Consider the following 24,622-nt stretch of genomic DNA (forward strand, 5'->3'; position numbering starts at 1 on the left):
TTCAAAGGATATACAGTATGAATAGGTGGTAAAATCTAAGTAAAATCTTTTTTGCAATGTTTTTCATGTTTAACGTTTATGTCCCTTCATATAGCCATTGTTTTAATAACATTCTACCACATATTTTCTGGTTTAAAAGTAATGTACTTGTCTGTGTGTATCTATGGAGGATTGGTTCAGGACCCCCTCAGATACCAAAATCTGCAGATGCTCAAGTCTCTTATATAAAATGGCATAGTATTTGCCTATAACTTATCCGCATCCTCCTGTATATTTTAAATTATCTCTAGATTACTTACAATATCTAATATAACGTGAATGCTCCATAAATACTTGTTATACTCTATTGTCTAGGGACTAATGACAAGAAAAGAAGTCTGTACATGTTCAGTACGGATACAGCCATTCATCTTTTCCAAATATTTTCAATCTGAAGTTGACTGAATCCATGGCTGCAGAACCCACATGTATGGAGGACCAAGTGTACATGTTTATTTTATTAAATTTCAGAAACAAAAAATAAAACAGGGAAGAAACCAGAATTCCATCAATGAGATCTAATCATCCTTAACATTTCGGTGTGTATCCTACCAGTCTTTCTGTCTTATGATTTATGAAGTTTTTAAAAGGATGGGGTGAGGAGAGAAGCAAGGAATGATAGGCATGTGGTTGAGGATAATGGCTTCTTTAGTGCCAACATGGCACATGTATACATGTGTAACAAACCTGCACGTTGTGCCAATGTACCCTAGAACTTAAAGTATAATAATAAAAAAAAAAGAGGCACAAGAACAGGATGTAATACAGGAACCCACCGGTAGGTTACTATGGGTGTTTTTTGTTTTAGGTGGTAGATTAATTATTAAAAATAACTTAGGAAATAAAAGTCGGCCAGGTCTGGACCAATAATGAGGATGTATCACCAACAAAGGATTATGATTAATCCAATTTTGTGCACCTGCGGTCCAATTAAAACTAAAAGAATTCTCATAATAAATAGATTCTGTGCTGTAATTGAAAGTAAGTTTAGTCCTCTGAAGTCCTAAACTGACATTTTAAAGACAAACTGTGCACTGACAAATCGGGGGGAAAAAATTACTTCCCTTTTCAGTAAGAAGAAGCTTGCCCTTTGATTACTAAACCTCACATAGTTTTACAATGATTTGTGAATTCCAGCTCCTGTTCATGATAACATTGGCCATAATGATTCAAACGTTCATGTGTCAGAACGTTTCAGTGTAAACCAGATAAACTTCCCAGGTCCCTTCTATCTCTAAAATTCTGTATTTTAGATTAATGACCTGATGTGTCTACCCACTCAATTAATAAAGCAAGAATGACTTTTCCAGACCCTTTCCTGTTAATTACACAGAGAGTTTCAACTGGGGACAGTTCTTATTGCTCACAGCAAAAATCCAGATTTATTGGTTTGTTTTCGTGTTTATATCCCTGTTGCTGTTAATAAAAATGAAAGGTTTAATGTGTTGAGGAAATCAGGGTAAAATATGTGCAAGAATTTAAAATAATGCACACGTAATGTTAGAACACTAAAATGCATGCTTTTGGTTTCTATTTTAGCTACAGCGGAGCCACAAACTTGGCTTACAGCTTCCTAACACTCAAAGAAGGAAACAGGAGAAGAGAGAAGATTTGTAATGCCTATAAAATAATTTTGGCCAGGTTTTCCAAAGAAAACCAGAATTTCCATGTGCTTAGAAAGATGTCCCCACGATGTGCTAGAACAGGCTTCTATCGGCGCTTGAGAGCCGATGGTTAAATATTCAGATTTTTTACAAATATGTTGTTAAACCATTGGTAGCTTGAAACTGACCATGGTGGGAATATTTAGCATACACCACAAGTCAGGTCTTGTTTTTCTTTTAGAAGCCAGACTACAAGCACACCACCACATGTCCCCAGTGGTCCTCAGACAAAGACACTGTGTGAGGTCAGGAGAGTTGCAAGTGGATGGGGAAAGGCTCAGTGTACAACTTTCTATGTACAATAGAAACCCATCCCTCAGGAGTAGCGGAGAACAGAAACATATGCCTGACCAGAGAATGACTTCAAAGTTACATCAGCAGTCACCCACCCCACCTGAGTCCTTCTTTCCAATAATACCCTTTGGAATTTCATACCTGGGATTACAAAAACTGCTATGCCCATTGAGGGGCAGACATATCTCCCCATTCAAAGATACACCTAAACAAATGCGAGAATCTCAGATTACAGACTTTATGCTTTCCACTCAGTCAGCCCTTCCAAGCCCATGTTTCACGGCATCATGAAAAGTGTCCTTCAGGGAAGAAAAAAAGTGTCCCATACCAAAATAAGCAATAATCTTTATTGCAGGACTTCTCAGAGCCTTTAAGGAGGCATATGTGCTCCTGTGGCAGAGTGTACATTAGTTCCCAAACTTGTTTTACCCCAGAACACTTCCTGGTGACACATCTTGGGACATCATACTGAAAAATGCCACCCTGGGTAGTCAGGGTTCCTTATGATTTGGAGAGGCAACGCCAGGATGTTATTCCACAGAAATGTTTCTTTTATGTAGGACTTGAGGCTCTGGCATTTTTCTTTATAAAAACATGAGTTGCATATCTTCGCTTTTCAAATGAACCATTTCATTAACTCTGTTGGTGTTCATACATCCGTCAGCAGAGCTGACTTAAGGCATAAAGGAAACAGTTCAGGACAAGAAGTTTCTTAACTTCCTGTGGGCTATGTCGCCAGCAACTCACTCAGTCCTATGTGGACACAGAGTTTGTTATGTTGCCGGCAGTACACACAAGTATGCACCCACTCAACCATCATCATGGAGCCCCTCCATGTTCCAGGCCGCGGATGGGACAGACCTGGCCCTGTCTTCAAGGAGCTCAGGATGCAGCATTAATGAATGTCAGCTTCCTCTATTTACAGCCTTTCTTTGCTTTGTCTAGGCTTCTGTTTCCCCACTTTGCTCTGTGCCCTGTGCTGCTCCTCACCACTCTTGTTCATCCTTTTCCCTCCCTTCCCTGATAGCTTTTTCCAATGACTCACAAGAACCCACCCAGCTCAGCTGCTTTTCATTACGCTCCTGTCTTTGCATTTTTCCAACTCAATTAAGCCATTACCAGAACTAAATGAGGCATGGACTCCCCAAAAGTCACACCTGTTGTCAGGGAGATGGAGGGCAAGACCATGTGCAGCTGGCAGGCAGACAGCAGAAGCCGGGCTTGGGCTTGCGGGAGGCAGCCAAGGGTGACCGGGCAATTTGTGTTTCCCCCAGTGCCGAAAGAGGGCCCTCATTTTAAAACAACATGTGCCTTGCTTTGGTACAGAAGGAATGAAGTCTGATATAGAACTAGGGATGGCCGTATTGGTGATGGCAGGTAAGAGTCCCTAATTCTTTGGCAAATGTGCACCAGCTGTGTATAGAAACCCATATTGTGGATGTCTCTTCAGCAAGAGGTAAAGGAAGCTGCAACTACAGCCAGGCACGTGAGTTTGGTGATTATTGATTAAACTTTTTCAGGTTTATTTTTCCTGTTCACCCTCATTAAAACATACACATTTCACCTTTCTGCAATAGTGGCTTCAGACCCTACTGTTAGTATCTTTATGATCATTGTGACGAAAGAGAGTAAAGATTACAGTACAATAAACCAGAGACATAGCAGTGTACTCACGTTATGGAGATAAATTCTATTGGAAATCAAATTTGGTCTTATAATTCTCTTTTTTCTAGGCAACCTAGAATTTTTTTTTTTTTTTTGCCATCTAGGAATTCAAAAATAGTAGCTTTTGAGCTTGCTGTGCCTTTAATTTACTGAGTGATTTTATGTTCAGAAGGTCTGCGCCTGGGTTTTCTCTATTTGAAATGTGAGCAAAATCATTTTGCTCTAGAGATTCACAATTTCCAGAAATGTTGAGGCCAAGAGGTGAGAGTAGGGGTGGTTTTTATTTGGAAGAAAATTGAAATGTGGCAGTGTTCACTCCTGACGTTGTTTTGCTATCCTCTGTTAACTTGTTTTGACTCCGGAACTTGGATTAGCCACGTAGCTACTCTTTGGACAACAAGTTCAACAGACATTTTTAGAGCATCCATTTAGTACCAGGTTCTTTGTTTGATGCTGAGGATGCAGCTATGATCATGGAGAAGCCTCTGCCTACAGGAACCATCAGTCTCGTGGGGTGACCCCTTCCTTGTCCTGTCCAGGAATTGCCCAACCAGCCTCTGGTCTTTACTGTGTACACTTCATACATTTGTTCAACGAATATTTGTGAATCATTTGTGCCAGGTGCTGTGCTGGGTGCTAGGCAACAATGGTGAAGAAAAGAGACAGGCCTTGGCCTCATGAAGTTTCTGGTCCCCACCTTGACTTAATTCTCTTTCCCAGCAATCACCAGAGAATATCACTATTTGCTCTGTGCTCCCTCAACACTTAAACCATGCCTCTTTATAACATTTAGATCACCGTCCTTATAATGCGCCTTTCTGTCTCTTTTTAAACCTTGAGCACCTTGAAGGCAAAAATTTCAACTTTCTTTCCCTAGTGTCTTGCACTCCCTGGTATCTAGCACATAGAGAGCTCAATAAATGTTTTTTGAATGAGTAAATCATTGCACGAATTTATAACTTCATGAACCCATGGAACCCATTGACTGGTCTGCCCTCATCTCCGATCCTTGGCTGAAAAGCCTAACAAGCCATTATCTGTCCGTACTGAAACACTCCTCCTGATGTCAAGAACCTTCTAAACATAAAACCACCTGGTGCACGGATCATTTCTTCTTCCAAGATGTATCTGCCATTGAGAGAAAGAACAAATACTAGCTTCAGCTTTGTTTGTAACACTCATTTGCAGGAAGGCAAACATGATTATATATGATTTAAATGGAATAAATGTATAGTAAGGAGAACAAATGAGTTTATTTGTGATTCTTTGCTAGATACTGTTGGAGATAACTACAGTAAGAAAAAATATATATAATAACAGTGGTTTAAACCAGCCAGAAGCCTTTTTTCTCTGTCAGGCAAAAGTCCAGGAATAGTTCAATATTAAGGTTCTGCTCTATGAAAAGCTTAGCTCATGGCACCATCATTTCCTAGGTTGTAGCTCCTTGTTCAAGATGGTCTCTAGCTGTCATATCCACCTCCGTGCAGCAGAATAGAGGAAGCGGGGAGAAGGGATAAGGGGCAACCAGGAGTCAAGTACAAAGAAAATAAAGCTTTTACAACATGGAAGGTGGAAGGTGATGGGAGCTGGACGAAGGCACTGGCCACAGGAGTGTGTAGGAGAAGGCAGAGTGGGAAGCAATGGCAGAATCACAGGACCAGGAGACTGGATGTTGGAGGACAGGGAGATGGAGGATCTAGAATGACCCTCAGCTTTGGAAGCAAATTCGACCCTGACAACTGAACTCAAAAGGGTGGTTTGAAGAATATGTTAGACTGAGAGAGTTAACTGCTACAAATTGACCCCAAATCTCTCCTTCCTCTATTCCTTATTGCCATTAATTTTCTGTTGAATGAACTAATTAAGTTAATAAACTCCAAGTAGTTAATATTTCACAGGAAAAATTTAACAGGTCTCAGTGACTAACCCTAGCCAGTTATAATGTTCTCTCTCCCATCTAATTCAGTCCATGGGACTCCTTAAAATTCTGAGTTCTTAAGGCATTCTTAAGACAAGTGCCAAAACTGCTCACTCGAGTAAGCTGAATATACAAAGAATCTATTTCCCTATCTAGAAAGTGGACTTGGTATTACCCTCATTACAAAATTGTTGTGAAGTTCAAAATACATGGAATGTTTAAGGGATCTGGCACAATGCCTGGATCAATAAATGCTAGTTTCTGTCTCCTTCCAAAGTACTTTCTTTTTTAATGCTTTTATTCGATAAACATTTATTCAGCATTTACTATTTCAGACACTGTACGAAGTAAGTGCTGCAGGACAAAGTTGAATTTAGAGAAAAAGTTACTTTTTTTTTTCCACTTCTGAGTGTTAAGGTAAATTCTGATCATTTAGCCCAGCATGTCTACCCCCTGGACTGAGAGCTCCTGAGGATATAAACATGCATGTGTTTGTCACCTTTATATTCCCAGCACATGTACTTATTAAATGTATGAGTGAACATATGACCAGGGTCCAAGGAATGAGGCCAAAAATCTAAAAGCAGGACTAGGGTCAGAAAACTGGGATGGTCATGGATGTTCAGACATTACAGGAGGAGACTCCATGAAAATTGAGCGTCTGCTGGGGTCATCCTTCCACCTGAGGCTCAGCACACTCTGCTAGGAATGCTGTTGGAGGAGAAGGTGGAATTCCTAAGGAGCAAGAGGCACCATATGACAATGATTAAGAGATTGAGCTCTGGAATCAGACGTTTATGAACATAACTGTAATAAAGTGTGATGAACCTTCCAAGAGGGAAGCTCCAAGATCCAAGACATAAGAGACTATGTTCTTACAGGTGGACCTCCCCTCACCTAAGGGTTCAGGGAAGTCCTCCTTCAAAAGCCTTGCAAATTGCTTACTGCACAACTGAGGGGTTAATGTGGGCTGAAATCCAATCTGTGTTCCACTAAAGCTGTGCACGTTGACTCAAAGCCGTGTGCTCCCCAGAAGGAGCTCTTTTCCTCATTCACCCGAAGGCCTACAGTTCACCCAGACATGCCCTGCAATTAAGGACATCTGAAAGCTCAAAGATAAGTAGATGTTTTCCAGGCCAAGTTTAGGCCACAGGGACCAAGGAGGGGAACAGCAAGTGTGAGATCTGAGCATTTTAAAAGCCTGATGTACTTGAGGAACTGAAAGAAGTTCAGCAAGGTTGGAGTGTGACATACAAAGAGAAGACTAACAAGAGTGGAAGGGTATTCATTAAAGCCAGTATTTTCTATGAGTTTACTAGTTACATTGTGCTAATGGCTCTCCATGCATTATTTTGTTTAGATCACAGACATTAAGTGACTTGCCCAAAGTCATATTAGAAAGTAGTGGAACTATGATTCAAAGCCAGGTGTGAATCCAGAGCCTGTGCTCCAAAGCACTTGTCCTGTGGCATCCAAAGATTTGCAAATTGCAAAAGAGCAAAACTGGAGATGAGAATGCCAGTTAAGAAATAGTTGCAGAAATCCAGGTTAAAAATGATGGCAGGGCCAGGCATGGTGGCTCACACCTGCAACCCTAGCATTTTGAGAGGCCAAGGTGGGAGGATCACTTGAGCCTAGGAGTTCAAGGCCAGCTGTGGACAACAGAGTGAGACCCATCTCTATAAAAAAATACATTTAAAATTAGCCAGGTGTGGGTAGCATGTGTTTGTAGTCCCAGCCACTCAAGAGGCAGAGGTGAGAGGACTGCTTGAGTCTGGGAGGTTGAGGTTGTAGTGAGCTGTGATGGCGCCACTGCATTCCAGGCTGGGCGACAGAGCCAGATTCTGTCAGAAAGAAAGAGAAAAAGGAAGAGAGAAAGAAAGAGAGAGAAAGAAAGAAGAAAGAAAGAAAGAAAGAAGGAAGGAAGGAAGGAAGGAAGGAAGGAAGGAAGGAAGGAAGGAAAAAGAAAGAAAGAAAGAAAGAAAGAAAGAAAGAAAGAAAAAAAAGAAAAGAAAGAAAAGAAAAGAAGGGAGGGAGGGAAGGAAGGAAGGGAAAGAGAGAGAGAGAAAGAAAGAAGGCGGGGAGGGGAGGGGAGAGGGACAAAGAAAAAGAAAAAGAAATAAATGATGGTGGACTAAAAATAATCTTGGAAATGGCGAGGAGTAAATGGATTCCAGAGAGAATTAAGAAGTAGAATCTACAGGGCTTAGGGATTGTGTAAATATGAAGGACAATGATGAGAACAGAAAGGAGGAAAAGATGGCTCCTTATTTTGTGTCTCTGTGGATGGCATGTAATCTTCTAAGATAGAAAACAGTGAGGGAGAAACAAGTCCAGTAGGGAGGTAAGTTTAGGGCCTGTTAAATTCAAAGAATCTGTGGAACATTCATGTGGCAGTGTCCAGTTGGCAGTCCAGTGCTTGGCCCTGAGCCTCAAGACAGGCTGGATATTTAGCCCCATCAACCTGTAATTGGTAATTGACTCACAGGGTGAGTGAGATAGGGTGCGGAGTGAGAAGAGCAGAGTTCCTACTCTACTAATCATAGTATAGCAGGAGGGCTTTCTCCTATATCCAGCTGTTGATCTTTGTAAAACACAATCTAATCCATGATTTCTCTGAATTTCGTATAAGAACTGTTCTTAAAAGGCTTACAGGGTGTCATATTACAAACTGAAACCAGAGACCTGCACAAAAAAAGGAGACTATCATAAAAAATAAAGAATAAGTGGTCTTTTCCAACATTTTTGTTTGGTTCAAAGTCAGATTTAAGCTTAAATATGACTCATTCTCTATTTTCTTTCTTTTTTTCTGAGACAGAGTTTCACTCTTGTTGCCCAGTCTGGAGTGCAATGGCACGATCTCGGCTCACTGCAACCTCCACCTCCCAGATTCAAGCAATTCTCCTGCCGCAGCCTCCCAAGTAGCTGGGATTACAGGCGTATGCCACCACATCCAGCTAATTTTGTATTTTTTTAGTACAGACAGGGTTTCACCATGTTGGTCAAGCTGATCTTGAACTCCTGACCTCAGGTTATCCACCTGCCTCAGCTCCCCATAGTGCTAGGATTACAGGCGTGAGCCATTGCACCCAGCTTCATTCTATATTTTCTATAAGAACTTACATGCTGAATAAAATATCTCTAATATTATTATAACAAAAGGAGCTTCTGCTACTAATAGGCCAAATTTATGCCTCATTCACACAGGAAAATGAATGGATTAAAATCCAGCATCAGCACCAGCAGAGGTCTTAGGTTATCAAGGGCCTCTTTAAAATTTGACCTCTCATAACCTAACATAGTTCTTCCCCAATATGGGCAATTGACGTTTCCTGTATTTTACATGAAGTGCTATAAAAATGTGACTCCAAGCCAGGCCTTTTCAGTCTGCCACCCCTAGGCCCCTCTAAATGGAAATTCTGAGCCACCTTAGTTGCAGTGGTCATCACAAGATGGGATTGAGGTTTAGCTGAATCCATTTTGTCTTTCTTTTCTTTTAGAAGGCATCACAGGAGGCCTCTGCATGATGTGGCTTCCAAAGACTCAAGGACCACCCACATTACAAGTCTGGATTGAGGAAGGCAGAAATGGAGATTCAAACACCACGTCTTCTATTATTTTATTAATCAATCTGTAGACATGTGTCCCCACTGCAGGGAGTGAACTGCTCCAAGGGAGAAACTTCTGGGAGCCTCCAAACTCCTAGCTGTCTCATCCCTTGCCCTGGAGAGACGGCAGAACCATGGCATTTTATAGCTGCTGCTGGGTCCTCTTGGCACTCACCTGGCACACCTCTGCCTACGGGCCAGACCAGCGAGCCCAAAAGAAGGGGGACATTATCCTTGGGGGGCTCTTTCCTATTCATTTTGGAGTAGCAGCTAAAGATCAAGATCTCAAATCAAGGCCGGAGTCTGTGGAATGTATCAGGTAAGAAGAGGGGCCTAATCTGCCAATCTCTTCTCTTCTGAGTGGTTGGAGAAAAGCTGCACCAAACGCAAAATAATTTTTTCAAACTTTGTCCTATCTTTTCAAGAATAGTGATTGATTGGTAATCATGCTGAAGCTTATTGCCCCCACAACCTGCCTTTTTTTTCCTGAAGACTTCTTTTTAAATAAAATGTCAATGATATTAAGTAGAAAATCCATGCATGGCCTGTTAAAGCACCTGGTGGTCATTTGGTGACCAAGTTATCATCGTTCACCTGGCAGCAGTGTTGCTTAATGGAAGACTAAGTACCTAGAAGGAAATTTATTGCAGGTCTTGCAAACCTGAGTAGTAAAATCCCCCATTGACCTTACATGCTCCAATGGATAGTAATACCTGAGTGCTGGCTGCCTCACTCTTTTTCTTTTTTTTCTTTCTTTTTTTTAAGGCATTTAAGTTGAAAGAAACCACAGTAGTCAGCATGACCCAGGCATCTTCAAACTGTAAAATGTAGTCCATAGCATTTTGGAACTACTGCCATCAAAAAGTCTTTTGCATAGGAAGGTTATCCCCCCTTGCCACCCTCCCCACCCCCCATCCACCCTGCCAAGAATGCATCTCACTCTCTCAATAGATTCTCTCTGTGGCCACTTGAAGAGAGCTAATATGTCTCATCAAATATTTTCTTCTCCAAGCCACATAGTCTGTTTTATCATCATTTTCTCCATGATATGCTTTCCAGACCCGTCATCATCCTGGTTGTCCTCCATCTGATGCCCCCTAATTTACTGCGACCCTTTTAGAATATAGTCTCCAGGGTGAGGCACATCTCTTTAAATGGGATCTGACTTCTGCAGAATATGGTTGGGACTGTTTATCACCTCCCCTAATCTACACTGGAGACTGACTGTGCTCCAAATCTTGACCCATCTTCTAGAGAGACTTGCAACTTCCAGAAGGGATCCAGCACTTTTCCTTGCTCTTCCCAATAGCTGGAAAATGAAAATGAAAACTAGGATTGTTCCAATAAAACTGGATTTCTGTTCATGTTCTAATGAGAGCTAGTAAATTGATAATATTTTCACATTTTTCTTATGAATGCAGGAAATCTAAGTGCAGAATCGCACTGATGCTGATGATATCCTTCACATAACCCATGTGGACAAATACTCTGTTGTACCCTGCTGCACAGAGCTGTACATGTGCCATGTGTATACAGACCTAAGATCAAGCAAGAGGCTTGCCCTAAAATAATATATATTTTTAAATTATGTTAAAGATAATAAAATTAGCTTAGCAGCAAAGATGTTTAATGTAAAAAAAATCTGTAATATTTCATAATAACTTTGTAGATTTAAAACAAATAGTTAAACAAATACATGAAGGAAACTTAAAGAAAATGGTAACAGAAAACATCACATTAAAAGTTAGACCAAGAGCTTAGGGAACCTAACAATACAATGGAGTATAAAAGATTGTATATCTCACCTCCTGTCACTGTCACTGAGTTCAAGTAGTGAAACCCACAATATAAAGAACCTGGTGAGTTGTTTTTTCCTCTAGACACAAATACACTGATTCAGCACATTTACTGAGCCCTGACTCTGAGCAAAGTGCTAGGGAAGTGAAAACTATGTCACTGACCCTATTTCTCTTGTTAACTTGTTTGATTTTTATTTAAAATGTTCTTCTTTGAAAAGCAATGCATGTTCATTTTTTAGATATAAAGTATAAATAAGCCAAAAGCACATAATTTTAAAACTCAGCATTCCACCTCCCAGAAATAACCACTGTTGTACACCCCAGACTGTCTGTGTATGGCCTTCATAGGTTTGTTATTTGTTTACAAAAATGAGATCATTCACGTCCCTTTCCCCTTGACCTTCAGGAATGTCATAGTCTAAACATATGACTCTGCAAATCTGATCTGAGGTTATTTTTAGGCACCCACATATTAATATCCTAATGTATTTATGTTTTCCTGGTCCTTTTCTTGTACATCTACATATTGCTTTTATTTAAGTACCTCATATCAGCTACTTCAAATTCATTACTGCAGAAGACAGATACAAATTATTCAATGAATTACAAATAGCAATCTTTTATTCTTCTTTTTATTTTTATTATTGTCATTATTGCTCTCTGTCTCTGTGTGAGGCACCATGCTGAAGATTTTGCATAATTAGCTCATGTCATGATCTTCACAGTCACCCTATGAGGCAAGTGTCATCCTCCTTTTATTTTTATTTATTCATTTATTTTTGAGATGGAGTCTCACGCTATCACCCAGGCTGGAGTGCAGTGGCACAATCTCAGCTCACTGCAACTTCCATCTCCCAGATTCAAGCAATTCTCCTGCCTCAGCCTCCCCTGTAGCTGGGATTACAGACACCTGCCACCACACCTGGCTAATTTTTGTATTTTTAATAGAGACGGGGTTTCGCCATGTTTTTGGCCAGGCTGGTTTTGAACTCTGGACCTCAAGTGATCCACCCGCCTCGGCCTCCCGAAGTGCTGAGATTACAGGCGTGAGCCACCACGCCCGGCCATGTCATCCCCATTTTAACAGAGAGGGCTCTGTACAGAGCATGCCATGAAGCCAGAGAGTAGTAACAGTTCGATGATTCAAACCCAGCTTTGCCAGGTCTTTACTCTAAAGTCGTTGACTAGAAAGCTTCCCATTTTCTTCCACTTCTTCTTTCTTCCAGGTATAATTTCCGTGGGTTTCGCTGGTTACAGGCTATGATATTTGCCATAGAGGAGATAAACAGCAGCCCAGCCCTTCTTCCCAACTTGACGCTGGGATACAGGATATTTGACACTTGCAACACCGTTTCTAAGGCCTTGGAAGCCACCCTGAGTTTTGTTGCTCAAAACAAAATTGATTCTTTGAACCTTGATGAGTTCTGCAACTGCTCAGAGCACATTCCCTCTACGATTGCTGTGGTGGGAGCAACTGGCTCAGGCGTCTCCACGGCAGTGGCAAATCTGCTGGGGCTCTTCTACATTCCCCAGGTACTCAAGCCTTCTCAGGCGGGGCACTGGGAGCAGGATCAGAAGAAGCAGGCTTGGGGGTGCCATGCCCAATAGCCATACGGTTTACCATATTCCCATCTCTGGCACAAAAGACCTATGATTTAGTTGATATGCTGTATCATGACCATTTGGGATTTCTGAAACTCCAGTGTCCACAATATCAATGATACCTTCACTATGCTTCCAAAATTCTTTTAAATGTACCTTGCATAAAACTGTGTCTTTTTTTAAAAAGAGGCATTCAGTTATTTATTTCCCACTCTATTCCTTTAGTAAATTTTTTTTCCTTCTACTTTTACTAAAAGGAATCAGAGCATATGAGGTAAATCCCACCTCTCAAATCCAAAATATCTGTCCCGAATTCCATTTCCTGAAAAGTCTCGCTGCTCCACTGTCTCATTGAAACTTTAGCTCAGAGGGAAGCAGAGCATATTTTCTCACAAAACAGGAACTTAATCATTGTGTTGCACATTCCAGAAACGGAGAAAATTCTATTTCATTCAAAAAATATTTATTGAGCATATATGTATAAGCGGTCTCCACTTTGCGGGAACTTAGCCTAGGTGGAGAGATGGTTGCGTTTCCATTTACTAACAGTTTATTGAAGCAAGTGCTTTAATAAACATTCAGTGGTGCATTTTTTTCACCAAAAAAAGATAACAAATGTGAAGTGCCATTTTATAACCTGACATTTTCCTTCTTAACGCTATAGAGCAAAGCATTTTTCAGTTTAATATTTATAAATCTATGACATCATTTTATAATAGTGAAAAAATGGAAACAACCTAAATGTCTGTGGGTGGGAGAATCAGCTCAATTGTGATGCATCCTTACATCAAGTTTGAAATTAAACTATAAACTATACCTTAAATTTATTTTTTGAATGTTTAATATTTAAAATTTGTAAGAGTACCTTTGATAAATTTACATTTCTATGTTGGGAGGGCTCCTTTTTTTTTTTTTTTTTTTTGGTGATTGCCATTATCTCTTTATATACATGAGACAAGAGATAGTTTTGTCATCATTGACGGAATCCTTACTTCAGGGAATTAAAGGTGTTTCCCATGGGGAAGCCCTGGCTTTGTAACTTTTGTGCCAAAGTGATCTGACAAAGCCTGTATCAGTAAATGTGCTGCGTATATTCAAACTTAGATACACGTTAAAGTAAGTTATTGTTACCCCATGGCCAACAGGCTAAGATGTCAAGTAAAGAAAGAACATGAAAAGGGGAGGGGCGTGTTAATTCTTTGTGTTTTGGATGAAAGATAAGGTTAAGTTGAGTTTGAATTATAAAAGTGCTTTGATTATCAATCAAACCAATATAAGTCTATCTACAGTAGGGGTTCTCTGCCATGTCTGCCATGGCTACCTATTGGAATCACTTAGAGAGCTTTAAAAATACTGGTGCCTAAGTCCCACTCCGCAAAGATCAAGGTTTAATTGAGCTGAGATGCAGCCTAGGTGTCGGGAGGTTTTAACACTCTGGAAGTGATTCTAATGTGCAGCTGGGCTGGGAACCACTGCCCTGCCGGGTGAGGTCATGGACCCAGGGGTATTTCGTATGCCAGCCACGCCACCAAGTGGATGGAACAAGCAGACCAGCTAGACAAATTGCGGTTGGAACAGTTTTCTGAATCATTCTTGAAATTCTCCCCTCTTACAATAAAAAAAAGTTTTGTGTGTTTCTGAGGGGTTTTTTGGGGGGTTGGGGCACAAAATGGTATTTACCCCACTTTAGAGTTGCTTTTTAAAAACTTGGTAAACATTATAAATACGTTCCTTAAGAGAACATATCCATGAGGAATATTATTGTTTTTGATTTTTATTCCATTGAAGCCCTTTTGACCTATTTTTGAAAAACTCAAGAAGCAAGCAATAATGGATGGATTTTTTAAAATGGTAGGTTTTGTGTTTGCAAAAATCTGATTTAGAGGCCTATTGTTTGGGTCTGCTAACAGAATTCTCTGAAAAACAATAACATCTAAACAAATTACTTAATTTAACCACCTGCCTCATAAGTTCTGTGGTATTTCGAGAATACCTTATTCTGATAAGGGAAAAAATTATCAATTTTATACTATAACTTCTAAAATAAAAGCTCTTGTCAGAAAACAGTCATACTTACTTTTTAGTCAAGTTGGCCTAATTTTTTTACAGACCAACGCCTTTTATGTTTCTAATGTAGAAACTATCCATCAATAAGAAGAAACACATTGGAAATTTTTTTTTTTTTTTTTTTGAGATGGAGTCTGGCTCTGTCACCCAGGCTGGAGTGCAGTGGCAGGATCTCAGCTCACTGCAAGCTCTGCCTCCCGGGTTCACGCCATTCTCCTGCCTCAGCCTCCCGAGTAGCTGGGACTACAGGCGCCCGCCACCACGCCCGGCTAATTTTTTGTATTTTTAGTCGAGACGGGGTTTCACCGTGTTAGCCAGGATGGTCTGGAAATTTTTACTTAAAAATATTGGACATGGAAAATTAATTGTTTTAAATGGTGAAAGATATTAAAAAGGCATTCTCCCAAATACCTTTGACTTGTTTTCTTAAGAAGTTTAAAATCTCTCTGGAAAAACTAGAGAACACAAGATATTAAGCTACTTCATTTCCTAGAAGAAATTCCATTTGTGTAAAAATGTTTCGTTCTTCAGAAAAAATGGTCCCATAACTTGGAACTTCCTAAGTGGTGAGCCATGATGACACAGAGTGCTGCAAATGAGCTGAAGCCGGCCTCATCAAAGATGTGGATCTCCTCAAGTGTTGGGGTGACCAGGTGGGGCCTGAGTGGTCAGAGCACTCCCACCAGGGTTGATCAGCTTCCTCTGTTTGCTCCATGTGTTGCCATAATGTGAAAAGAAGTGGGAAAGCTCTGCACTAACTAATGCTTTACATGGTATTTGGCTACTTCTTCAAGCAACGATCTCTTAACATCAAGGGCAAGACTTTCTTCCCTTGGTAGTCCACACCCTTGCTCAGATGCAGAAGTGGCTATGTCTTAGAGAGTGCAAACATGTCAAGACAGCTTCTCCAGGGTTCCTGTTCAGCCTCTTAAGATTTTCAAGACCCATATCAAAAGCCTGTCAAGCAGGCTCAGCCATCACCTATAACTGAATAAAGGAAAGGGCTCTGGAAGGTGCTTCCCAATGGAAGATTCTTCACAATGCGACCTTCAAAAGTGGGTCTGCTAACAATGAGTTAATGGGTGCAGCACACCAACATGGCACATGTATACATATGTAACAAACCTGCACGTTGTGCACAAGTACCCTAGAACTTAAAGTATAATAAAAAAAAAAAAAAAGTGGGTCTGGCCATAAAATCAATCCAACAATAGTGGGATGGAGAGGAAGGGAGGTTTTTCTGATGATATTTAATTACATACGTCATTGTTATTGTGATACAGGGGGATTGAGCCTAGTGGTCTTAGTGGTCTAATTGAGCCTAAAAGAAACAGTTCTCAGAAATGACTGCAATTAAGCTTAGTTTTTTCTAAAGTACTGGGGTGCGGGGAGGAGAGGGAGGAGGAGGAATAACCAGAGGAGGGGAAGAGAGAAATTAGGCAGAATAAGAAAAGGGAATTCCCGGGGACTCCTCTGAAGAGCCTTAAGTTTATAATCCATGGGGAACCCGATTCCTTCCACAGGCAAATTATGAACAAAGTGTTTATTGCAGTAAAGGGAAGTTAAACTCTTCAGATCAGAAGCTGAGCCCAACAAGCCAAAGTTGTGTACATGGATATATTATAACCAATGAGGCAGCACAGAGGAGGTTAGAGAAGACATGAAACGGTGCATAAAGACTCTTCTTGAAAGGCTAAGTACATCCCACTATTGTTGGGTTGATTTTATGGCCAGACCCAGTTTTGAAGTTAGCATTGTGAAGAATCATCCATTGGGAATTGGGATGCTCCCTCAAAGACTGAAAGGTGCTTAAGTGCTCACTCTGGAGTGGAACAGATGCTGCTTTTCCTTACCCTTTCTTTCATCCTGTATACAGTGAACAGCATAGTTGATAAATGAGACCAAGGCATGCTCAGAAAGCCACCTCCACAACAGCCTGGAGGCTCACTCAGCACCTCTTCACTCACTCACTCACTCATTCACCATGTTCTTGGTTCTCTCCAGGTCAGTTATGCCTCCTCCAGCAGACTCCTCAGCAACAAGAATCAATTCAAGTCTTTCCTCCGAACCATCCCCAATGATGAGCACCAGGCCACTGCCATGGCAGACATCATCGAGTATTTCCGCTGGAACTGGGTGGGCACAATTGCAGCTGATGACGACTATGGGCGGCCGGGGATTGAGAAATTCCGAGAGGAAGCTGAGGAAAGGGATATCTGCATCGACTTCAGTGAACTCATCTCCCAGTACTCTGATGAGGAAGAGATCCAGCATGTGGTAGAGGTGATTCAAAATTCCACGGCCAAAGTCATCGTGGTTTTCTCCAGTGGCCCAGATCTTGAGCCCCTCATCAAGGAGATTGTCCGGCGCAATATCACGGGCAAGATCTGGCTGGCCAGCGAGGCCTGGGCCAGCTCCTCCCTGATCGCCATGCCTCAGTACTTCCACGTGGTTGGCGGCACCATTGGATTCGCTCTGAAGGCTGGGCAGATCCCAGGCTTCCGGGAATTCCTGAAGAAGGTCCATCCCAGGAAGTCTGTCCACAATGGTTTTGCCAAGGAGTTTTGGGAAGAAACATTTAACTGCCACCTCCAAGAAGGTGCAAAAGGACCTTTACCTGTGGACACCTTTCTGAGAGGTCACGAAGAAAGTGGCGACAGGTTTAGCAACAGCTCGACAGCCTTCCGACCCCTCTGTACAGGGGATGAGAACATCAGCAGTGTCGAGACCCCTTACATAGATTACACGCATTTACGGATATCCTACAATGTGTACTTAGCAGTCTACTCCATTGCCCACGCCTTGCAAGATATATATACCTGCTTACCTGGGAGAGGGCTCTTCACCAATGGCTCCTGTGCAGACATCAAGAAAGTTGAGGCGTGGCAGGTGCGTCCTTCACTTATATAGCAATTTGCTGTATAATAAAGCAGAGTTGGGCTGCAACTCCAGGCAAGAAAAATAGTGGTCATTTGAAAAGGGCAATATTTAAATGAAGCCACTAAATGGAGCTTTGGATTCAAAGTACCTTTTTTAAATCTTGAGCAACTGATTTGAACAAAATTGATAGTAATTTGATTATCTATTTAAAGCCTTGAGTCAACTGTTCTTTAGTCCAGTGATTCAGAATAACTGAAGTATGGTCCCCAAAAGTTTTCAAATATCCCAGAACAGATTTAGTAATGAGTGGGGTATTTTTCTAATGTCTAAATTATCAATATTGTTCCCTTGTGAGTAAGAAGTATTTTTTGAGTACCTATTACATTCCATATACTAAGTGGCATAAAGCTAGTATTATTGTGTTTAGCCACCACTTTTGCCATTACATTACTGACAGCCTATACCAAGCCACCCAGCAGGTCAGCTAAGCACAGCTTAGGACAAAAGCAAATCAAAGACACAGAAAACAAAAACTCTTTGTAAAAAGATTTGATATTGAGTGTTTCAAAAAGAAGCACTGAAGTGGTTATCATAGAAAAAATCAGAACTTAAGAGGAGTTCCCACACTTGTTTAGCCTTGTTTTGTATTTTTGAATTACACACAGGAGAGACATCATAATCTTTTTCATTTCAAGAGCTTATATCCTAAATAGCTGTTCGGGTCTTGCATATGTGCCTTATTTTTTTCAATCAGACCATGTTTCACACTCCTTTTGTATTTTCCTTAGTTCCAAACTGACCTATCAGAGAGATTGCATGACAGTGGAGAGGGCGGGAATTCCTGAATTTGAATGGAATGTGCCAGCCTCCAGCTCCCCCATTTCCTAGCTGTGTGATCTTAGGCAAACCATGGCTGTAAGTCACAGTGTCTCCATCTGTGACACAGACTTAATGTCTAGCTTACTTTCCACTCAATGTTCTTTTGACTTAGGTTCATGACATTAAATGACATGATATATGTAAAAGCAATTTGTAAACTTTCAAGCTCTAAACAGATGTGTGATTATTATAGTAGGATTTCAGTACAGCTCTAATTAATCCATGAATTAGGTAAAAATGATAACTAGAACACCTTTGTATACAGAACCCAACCACCACAAACCCTTTGGGAAGGATACCAAGAAGCAAAAAGCACACAACTTGTATCAGTCACTGTAGAGATTCTCATGAAAGACAAGGAGTGACTGTCTAAGTTGGTCAAATAGGCCAGAATCTTCAAGTTCTCAGCCCTTCTTATATGGGAACCTCTTACCCAACCATCACTGTTGGCTAAAGTTTCTAACTTCTGTGGGGTACTCAGAGCTTCTTTCTTCACACGGAACCCCTACCTTGCCAAGATAGAGGTGCTGTAATAAAGGTCAGGCACTCTAAAGTCTTCAGGAGTGATGATGCTAAGGTATGGGGTTTTAAGTAGGAGGAGTAAGGGAGCAATCTTCTAGGTGGTTGTTACTATTGTCTTTTCTTTCTTACCTCTCACGTCCAATGCAAGGAGGACCTCAGTTCTTGAAAAAACTGCAAGACAAGAGTAGGGTTGAAGGAAAAACAGGCTTCAAGGGGGAAACTTGGCAGTTCTACTCTTCAATGGCTCCTCTTCCAGATAAGGAAATAAAATACAGATGGTCAAGACCAGACCTTGGACCTGTGAGAAAAAAAAAAAAGCCATGACAGGCTACAGTCACAACTGGGACTTTTAGTTGTGTAATAGAAAGCCCTAACCAAATTGGCATAAACAAAAAAAGAGGAAATGTAGTGAGTGGGTCATGTCACTAAAAATCTCAGAAGTGTTCCAGGTACAGCTAGGTATTTTCATCTCATCTTTCTGTTCTTCATTCCCCAGGGTTAGCAATTTTCAGCTTCTGTAGCAGCTTGAAGCTAGGATCTCCTTACTTCCCAAGATATCCTGTAAAAGTTCCAGAAACCACATTTATTGACCATTCCTAAGTCATGGATCCATCCCTGATGCTAGCAGTCCTCCAGACTACATAGACTTAGAGTAAGGGGGGAGTGAATCTCCAGTGGGAAGTCAGGATGCCATTACCAAAAGGAGGAAGAAATAGAAGCAAAGCAGCCAACATTCAAAATGTCCACTACACAGACACTTCACCCAACCATGGCCCAGGTAAAGATATGTTCTCCTGACTCTTACATGGTCTGGAAAAATCTCCCCAGGAGACAGCACAGATAGGAAAATGGGATCAGAACTCTAGGGAGGAATGACATGGGAAATTGGCCAAAATGTCCTGAGTGCTTGGTGTGAGTCTCCTTTGAGCCTCAGGAACCCAGGCTGTTGGATGGGCGTTCCAGAATTTGAGGTCTTGGCCAGGAGATGAACTAGCAATTATTCATTCTCATTATTAAGACCTATATCTTCATCAGGAAATCAACTAGCAATTATTCATTCATTCTCAATATTAAGATCTATATGGAAACTTATCACCTATAATCTAATCCAAGTCTCCAGCTGGAACTCCATGTCTGCCTTCTCTCAGTTCTTCCCCTATAAGCCAACCTGCATGACACCTCCTCACAAATCACTCATTAGTTTTTGGCACAGCATCTTTGCATAGGCCATAGCCCACACCAGAAGGGCCATCAATTTTTATCTCTGCTGTCATTTTCCACCAGGAACATTTAAATTGTTTTCAAAATCCACTTTCCCCTGGAAGTCTTTTCAAATCGTATTCCCACAACACATTTTCTGATCATTCTCGCTTCCTCATTTTTGATGTTTATATACCCAGCTTAAGCTTCCACAGCTCTTTAATTGACTGAAATAGACACTTATTAGTTAAAATTCTGGTTATAAGGGTCAATCACAATTTTTTTCCTTTCTTTCTCCCCAAAAAAATATTTATCAGTCAACTCATATGCCTCAAAAGTAGCACTAGCAGGTGATTTATGAGCATACAACTCACAATTGCCTCCTGACCTCTTCTTGGAGACCCCCAAGCCCTCCTCACATCCCTTCCCAGCTCTCTCTTCACTACTCCTTTGCTGTACTCTAAGCTTCATAAGATCCAGAACCATGCCTGTATTGTTCAGTACTATGTTCAGAATGCCTGTCGCTGGAATATTCATTGAATGAATGAATGAGTGAATAGCAGTCTAGTTGATTTGACCTGTCAACACTACCTATAGGCCTTTGCAGGGAACCGTTTGAGCCAACAACCCATTCTTGAATCAATCACTGTGGCCAAGGTATTCTAGGCTCTGTTTGGACAAGCTTTGGTCACGTGCCCACTATCAAGTTTGAGTGGAACATCATGTAAGTATGAAATCACCTTCTTTCTTCTCTCAGGATGATCATGCACAAGGTGTGCTTCCTACTCTCCTGCACCTCACACCAACACTCACTAGTCAGAAAACAGGCGTGCAGCCATGGTGAAGATGGAAGTCAGATGGAGCTGATCTTTCTAGGAATTCCTGGTACTGCTGGAAGTTGGGGAATGGGGGATAAATTGTGAGGACAGCCAGAGAAGATGGAAGGGAGATAAGAAAACATGGCTGGCGTTAGAGAAGGGAATTGGGCCTGGATCTTCCCCATGCTCTTACCACAGGAACTGGGCAAGATAATGAACTTCATTATCTTGTTCATTATCTGTGTGACCTGGCCCTCATTATCTGTATAAGAGCTGGAAGTCCTAGACCAGAGTGGGGGGGTTTCTAGTCTCTAATGTTCAGTTTAATTCAATTGACGCTACTAAGAATGTGTGCCAAGAGGTGATTTCCATTTATGCTTATAATGAGCAACCGTTTGACTTTAAAATCTTTTAGGGGAAATACCCTAAAAGACCACAAGATGGGAATATTATGGCATAAAAGAGTATGTTAGCTTCTAAGTGCATGCATGTCCTGTATTTGCCCCTCTTTTAGATCTATGTGTCTTTCTTGGTGGTGTTTTCTTTGTGAGCCTGTAAGTCTCTTTGTGTCTGTATGTTATGTTCTATGTTCAGATCTTTTTGTTTGTTTGTGTTTTGTTTTTTTGAGGCAGAGTCTTGCTCTGTCACCCAGGCTGGAATGCAGCGGCCCGATCTTGGCTCACTGCAAACTCCGCCTCCCAGGTTCAAGCAGTACTCCTATGTTTGGATCTTTCTACTAGCTTTTTTTGTTTCTCTTCCCCTTCGTTTATTCTTTTTCCTCATATTACTCCCCAAATAAAATAAATAATTTGGAAGCATATAATATTGGATAATAATCTCAAGTAAAATTTTATATTTCATTTTAAAAGGAACTGTCAGTTCCTTTTTAAAAGCAAAAGAAGCCAGGGGCAGTGGCTCACACCTATAGTCTCAACACTTTGGGAGGCCACAGTGGGTGGATCATGAGGTCAGAAGTTCGAGACCAGCCTGGGTAACGTGGTGAAACCCTGTCTCTACTAAAAATACAAAAAATTAGCCGGGTGTGGTGGCAGGCACCTGTAGTCCCAGCTGCTCAGGAGGCTGAGGCAGGAGAATTGCTTGAACCTAGAAAGCATAAATTGCAGTGAGCCAAGATCGCACCACTGCACTCCAGCCTGGGCAACAGAGCGAGACTCCGTCTCAAAATAAATAAATAAATAATAAAAAGAGTGTTCTCTCTCGGGCAGATATCTAAATTATCTTCTAACTTATGTTGCTTTTTTTGTGGATCAATCATTATCAATTTAAAGATTCCCTGTCATTGCTCTTAGGAGTGAAATGGTTTTCATCTCCATCTTCCCTGTTATGTGAATTAAAGGCAAGATATTATGCAGAAAATAAAACGCCCAAATGCAAAACTTGCAAGTCAGCCTGCCAAAAGAAATATTAAAGATGTTTAAAGAGGTGACTTAGAGATATGACTTGGTAAGCATAATAATTTATTGATTATAAGTGGATAACGTACAAATTTTGAGTAGAAAATATTCCACACTCATGTGATTTTATTTATATACCTGCTGTGAGGACATAGTACAATACAATTCAGGTTAGGATTTGAAGTAAGGAAAAAAAAATATCATTTGAGACGAGTCTTGAAGGGTAGATAAAATTTGTGGATACGGAGAAGGATCTACTCCTTGGAGGAAAGGTCACAAAATGTCCTGCTAAGCAAAAGAATACTGACTAAAAAAAAATAGTACATAGTGTATGATTTCATTTATGCGATACTCTGTCTCTACTGACAGAAAGAAAGCAGATCAGTGGTGGCCTAAGGCTGCAAGTGGGTAGAGGTTGACTTTCAGGGACACCACAGAACCTTTTGGGAAGGTGGCAGTGGTAGTTACCAAGCATATACATTTGCCCAAATTCAGAACTATACACTTAAAATGAGTGTATATAAATTATACCTCAAAAAAGTTGATAAAAAAAATAACGGAAAGTCCCCAGGTGGGGAAGTCCTGGCTACTCATGGAGATCAGGATGTCATTCAGGTTAGACCATTTTCCCACTTATGGCCCCTCATGTTGCCACAAGCATTACACATCTCTACCATTTCATTTTTAAAATATGTCCATTTTCTCAACCTACATTTTATACCAGTTAACCTGTTGTAACTAGAGATAGGCAACTTAATAGATGTCTAATTTCACTCCTGCATGTGAGTAGGTAGTATAGTGTAATGGTTAACAGTTTGGAATCTCAAGCCAGACTGAGTTGGTTTAAATTTTAATTGCCACCTAATTGCCTTATGACCTTGGGCAGTCACTTAGTGTCCTTGTGCCTCACTTTTCTCTCTCACCTGAGAAATAGAGATCATGAAACTTGTTAAGTTTATTATGAGGATACCATTACTTAATATGCACAGAGTGCTTAGGATAGTGCCTATATACTATGTGCAGTAAATATTAGTCTTGAGTATTATTCTTTTGTAGGTGAGGAGGGTAAGACCCAGAGAAGTCAGAATGATTTTCCTAAAGTAATATATCTAGCTAGTAAAAAAGCTACATCTGCTCCAGGTGATCTGTTCCCCAAAGAGGCCAAAGGAGTTGCTAAAAGAATGACTTTTGCCCTCTGGGCACCACATGCCTTCTAGCTCCTGAGAGGCTGCCAGATCAGCCAGTGGTTTCCAAGTGAAGACACTGGTCCACTGCCTTGAACCCTGGGTGTTCAACAATTGTCCTGACACCTCGGTCCTTACACAAAGAGAAAGTATAGTGTGCAAATAATTGAGAGTGCACACAGCCAACCAGGTTGGAGTCTATTAGACATCTCTGTCCATCTTGAATATTACTGTATTTCTTCTTTCTAAAACAGTGCCTGCTTGGCCAGTAGTGGTCCCTCAATAAATACTTGTTGAATAAACAAATGAATAAAGAAAGAAAATGGGACAAAAATAACTCCTGAGAGGACAGTGGAGGACAGTAACACAGTACCTAGATACAGGCACAGATAAGGGAGGTCAGTGATCTCAGAGAAGTGGTCAGAAAACTCTCACACAAGAAACCACAGTAATGCTGACTTCATAAACTGGGGCTGGAACTTAGCTCTGCATTGTTAACAAAGTAAATTACATGAAGGAAAGCATGTTTTGGTAAGGATTTTAAGAGTATAAACAGGGTTATTGAGGCATAAAGATCCAGAAACCATTAAATTTTAAATTATTCTTGTATTTTTAACTGATGTAGGCCTCCTAAGAATCTTTATCAGGAACAATTTATTAGCCTAATTTGTACTAATAAATATGCCTAAAAGAAGAAAAGAAGCAACTTTAAAAAAATTATTTTGGCCTTTTTATTTGTTTGCTTGTTTTTGTTTATTTCAGTTTAGAATTTAGATCATATTTTCAATCTTACTCGGCCTGATTCAGCCCAATTGAACTGGTTAGAACTCCCAGTATAATCTTGTATAGATATAGTGAGGACAGACATTACTGTCTGCATCTGATCAGGGGGAAAGCATTCAGTCTTTTACCACTGAGTATGATGTTAACTTTCATAGATGCCCTTTATAGAGTTGAGAAAGTTCCCTTTTATTCCTATATTGCCGAGAGCTTTTATCAGGAATGGAGGTTGGATGTCATCAGTGCTTTTTCTGTATCTATTCAGAAAATCATGTGGTTTTTCTTTTG

General features: G+C 40.7%; 1 protein-coding gene across 6 annotated transcripts in view, besides 1 other annotated feature; it reads left to right on the top strand.

The window, feature by feature from the left end:
* Window positions 1-24,622, top strand: part of CASR (calcium sensing receptor) — a 107,962-nt gene that overhangs the window by 61,200 nt on the left and 22,140 nt on the right. For 3 of the 6 annotated variants that reach the window (NM_000388.4, NM_001178065.2, XM_006713789.4), the window contains exons 2-4: window positions 9,081-9,507; window positions 12,214-12,520; window positions 16,661-17,545. In NM_000388.4, the coding sequence (NP_000379.3) occupies window positions 9,323-9,507; window positions 12,214-12,520; window positions 16,661-17,545 (1,377 nt within the window). In that variant the 5' untranslated portion in view covers window positions 9,081-9,322. The other 3 variants (XM_017007324.2, XM_017007325.2, XM_047449065.1) reach the window with 3 other exon arrangements.
* Window positions 20,220-20,321: a silencer, noted in NCBI's record as "fragment chr3:121983934-121984035 (GRCh37/hg19 assembly coordinates)". NCBI's record gives its function as "represses an EF-1alpha promoter that drives an FKBP-Casp9 reporter gene in an ReSE screen in phorbol 12-myristate 13-acetate-treated (for megakaryocytic differentiation) K562 erythroleukemia cells {active_cell/tissue: K562(+PMA)}" and the evidence as "EXISTENCE:reporter gene assay evidence [ECO:0000049][PMID:32094911]".

The sequence above is a fragment of the Homo sapiens genome, chromosome 3, assembly GCF_000001405.40.
Source record: "Homo sapiens chromosome 3, GRCh38.p14 Primary Assembly".
Classification (NCBI taxonomy): Eukaryota; Metazoa; Chordata; class Mammalia; order Primates; family Hominidae; genus Homo; species Homo sapiens.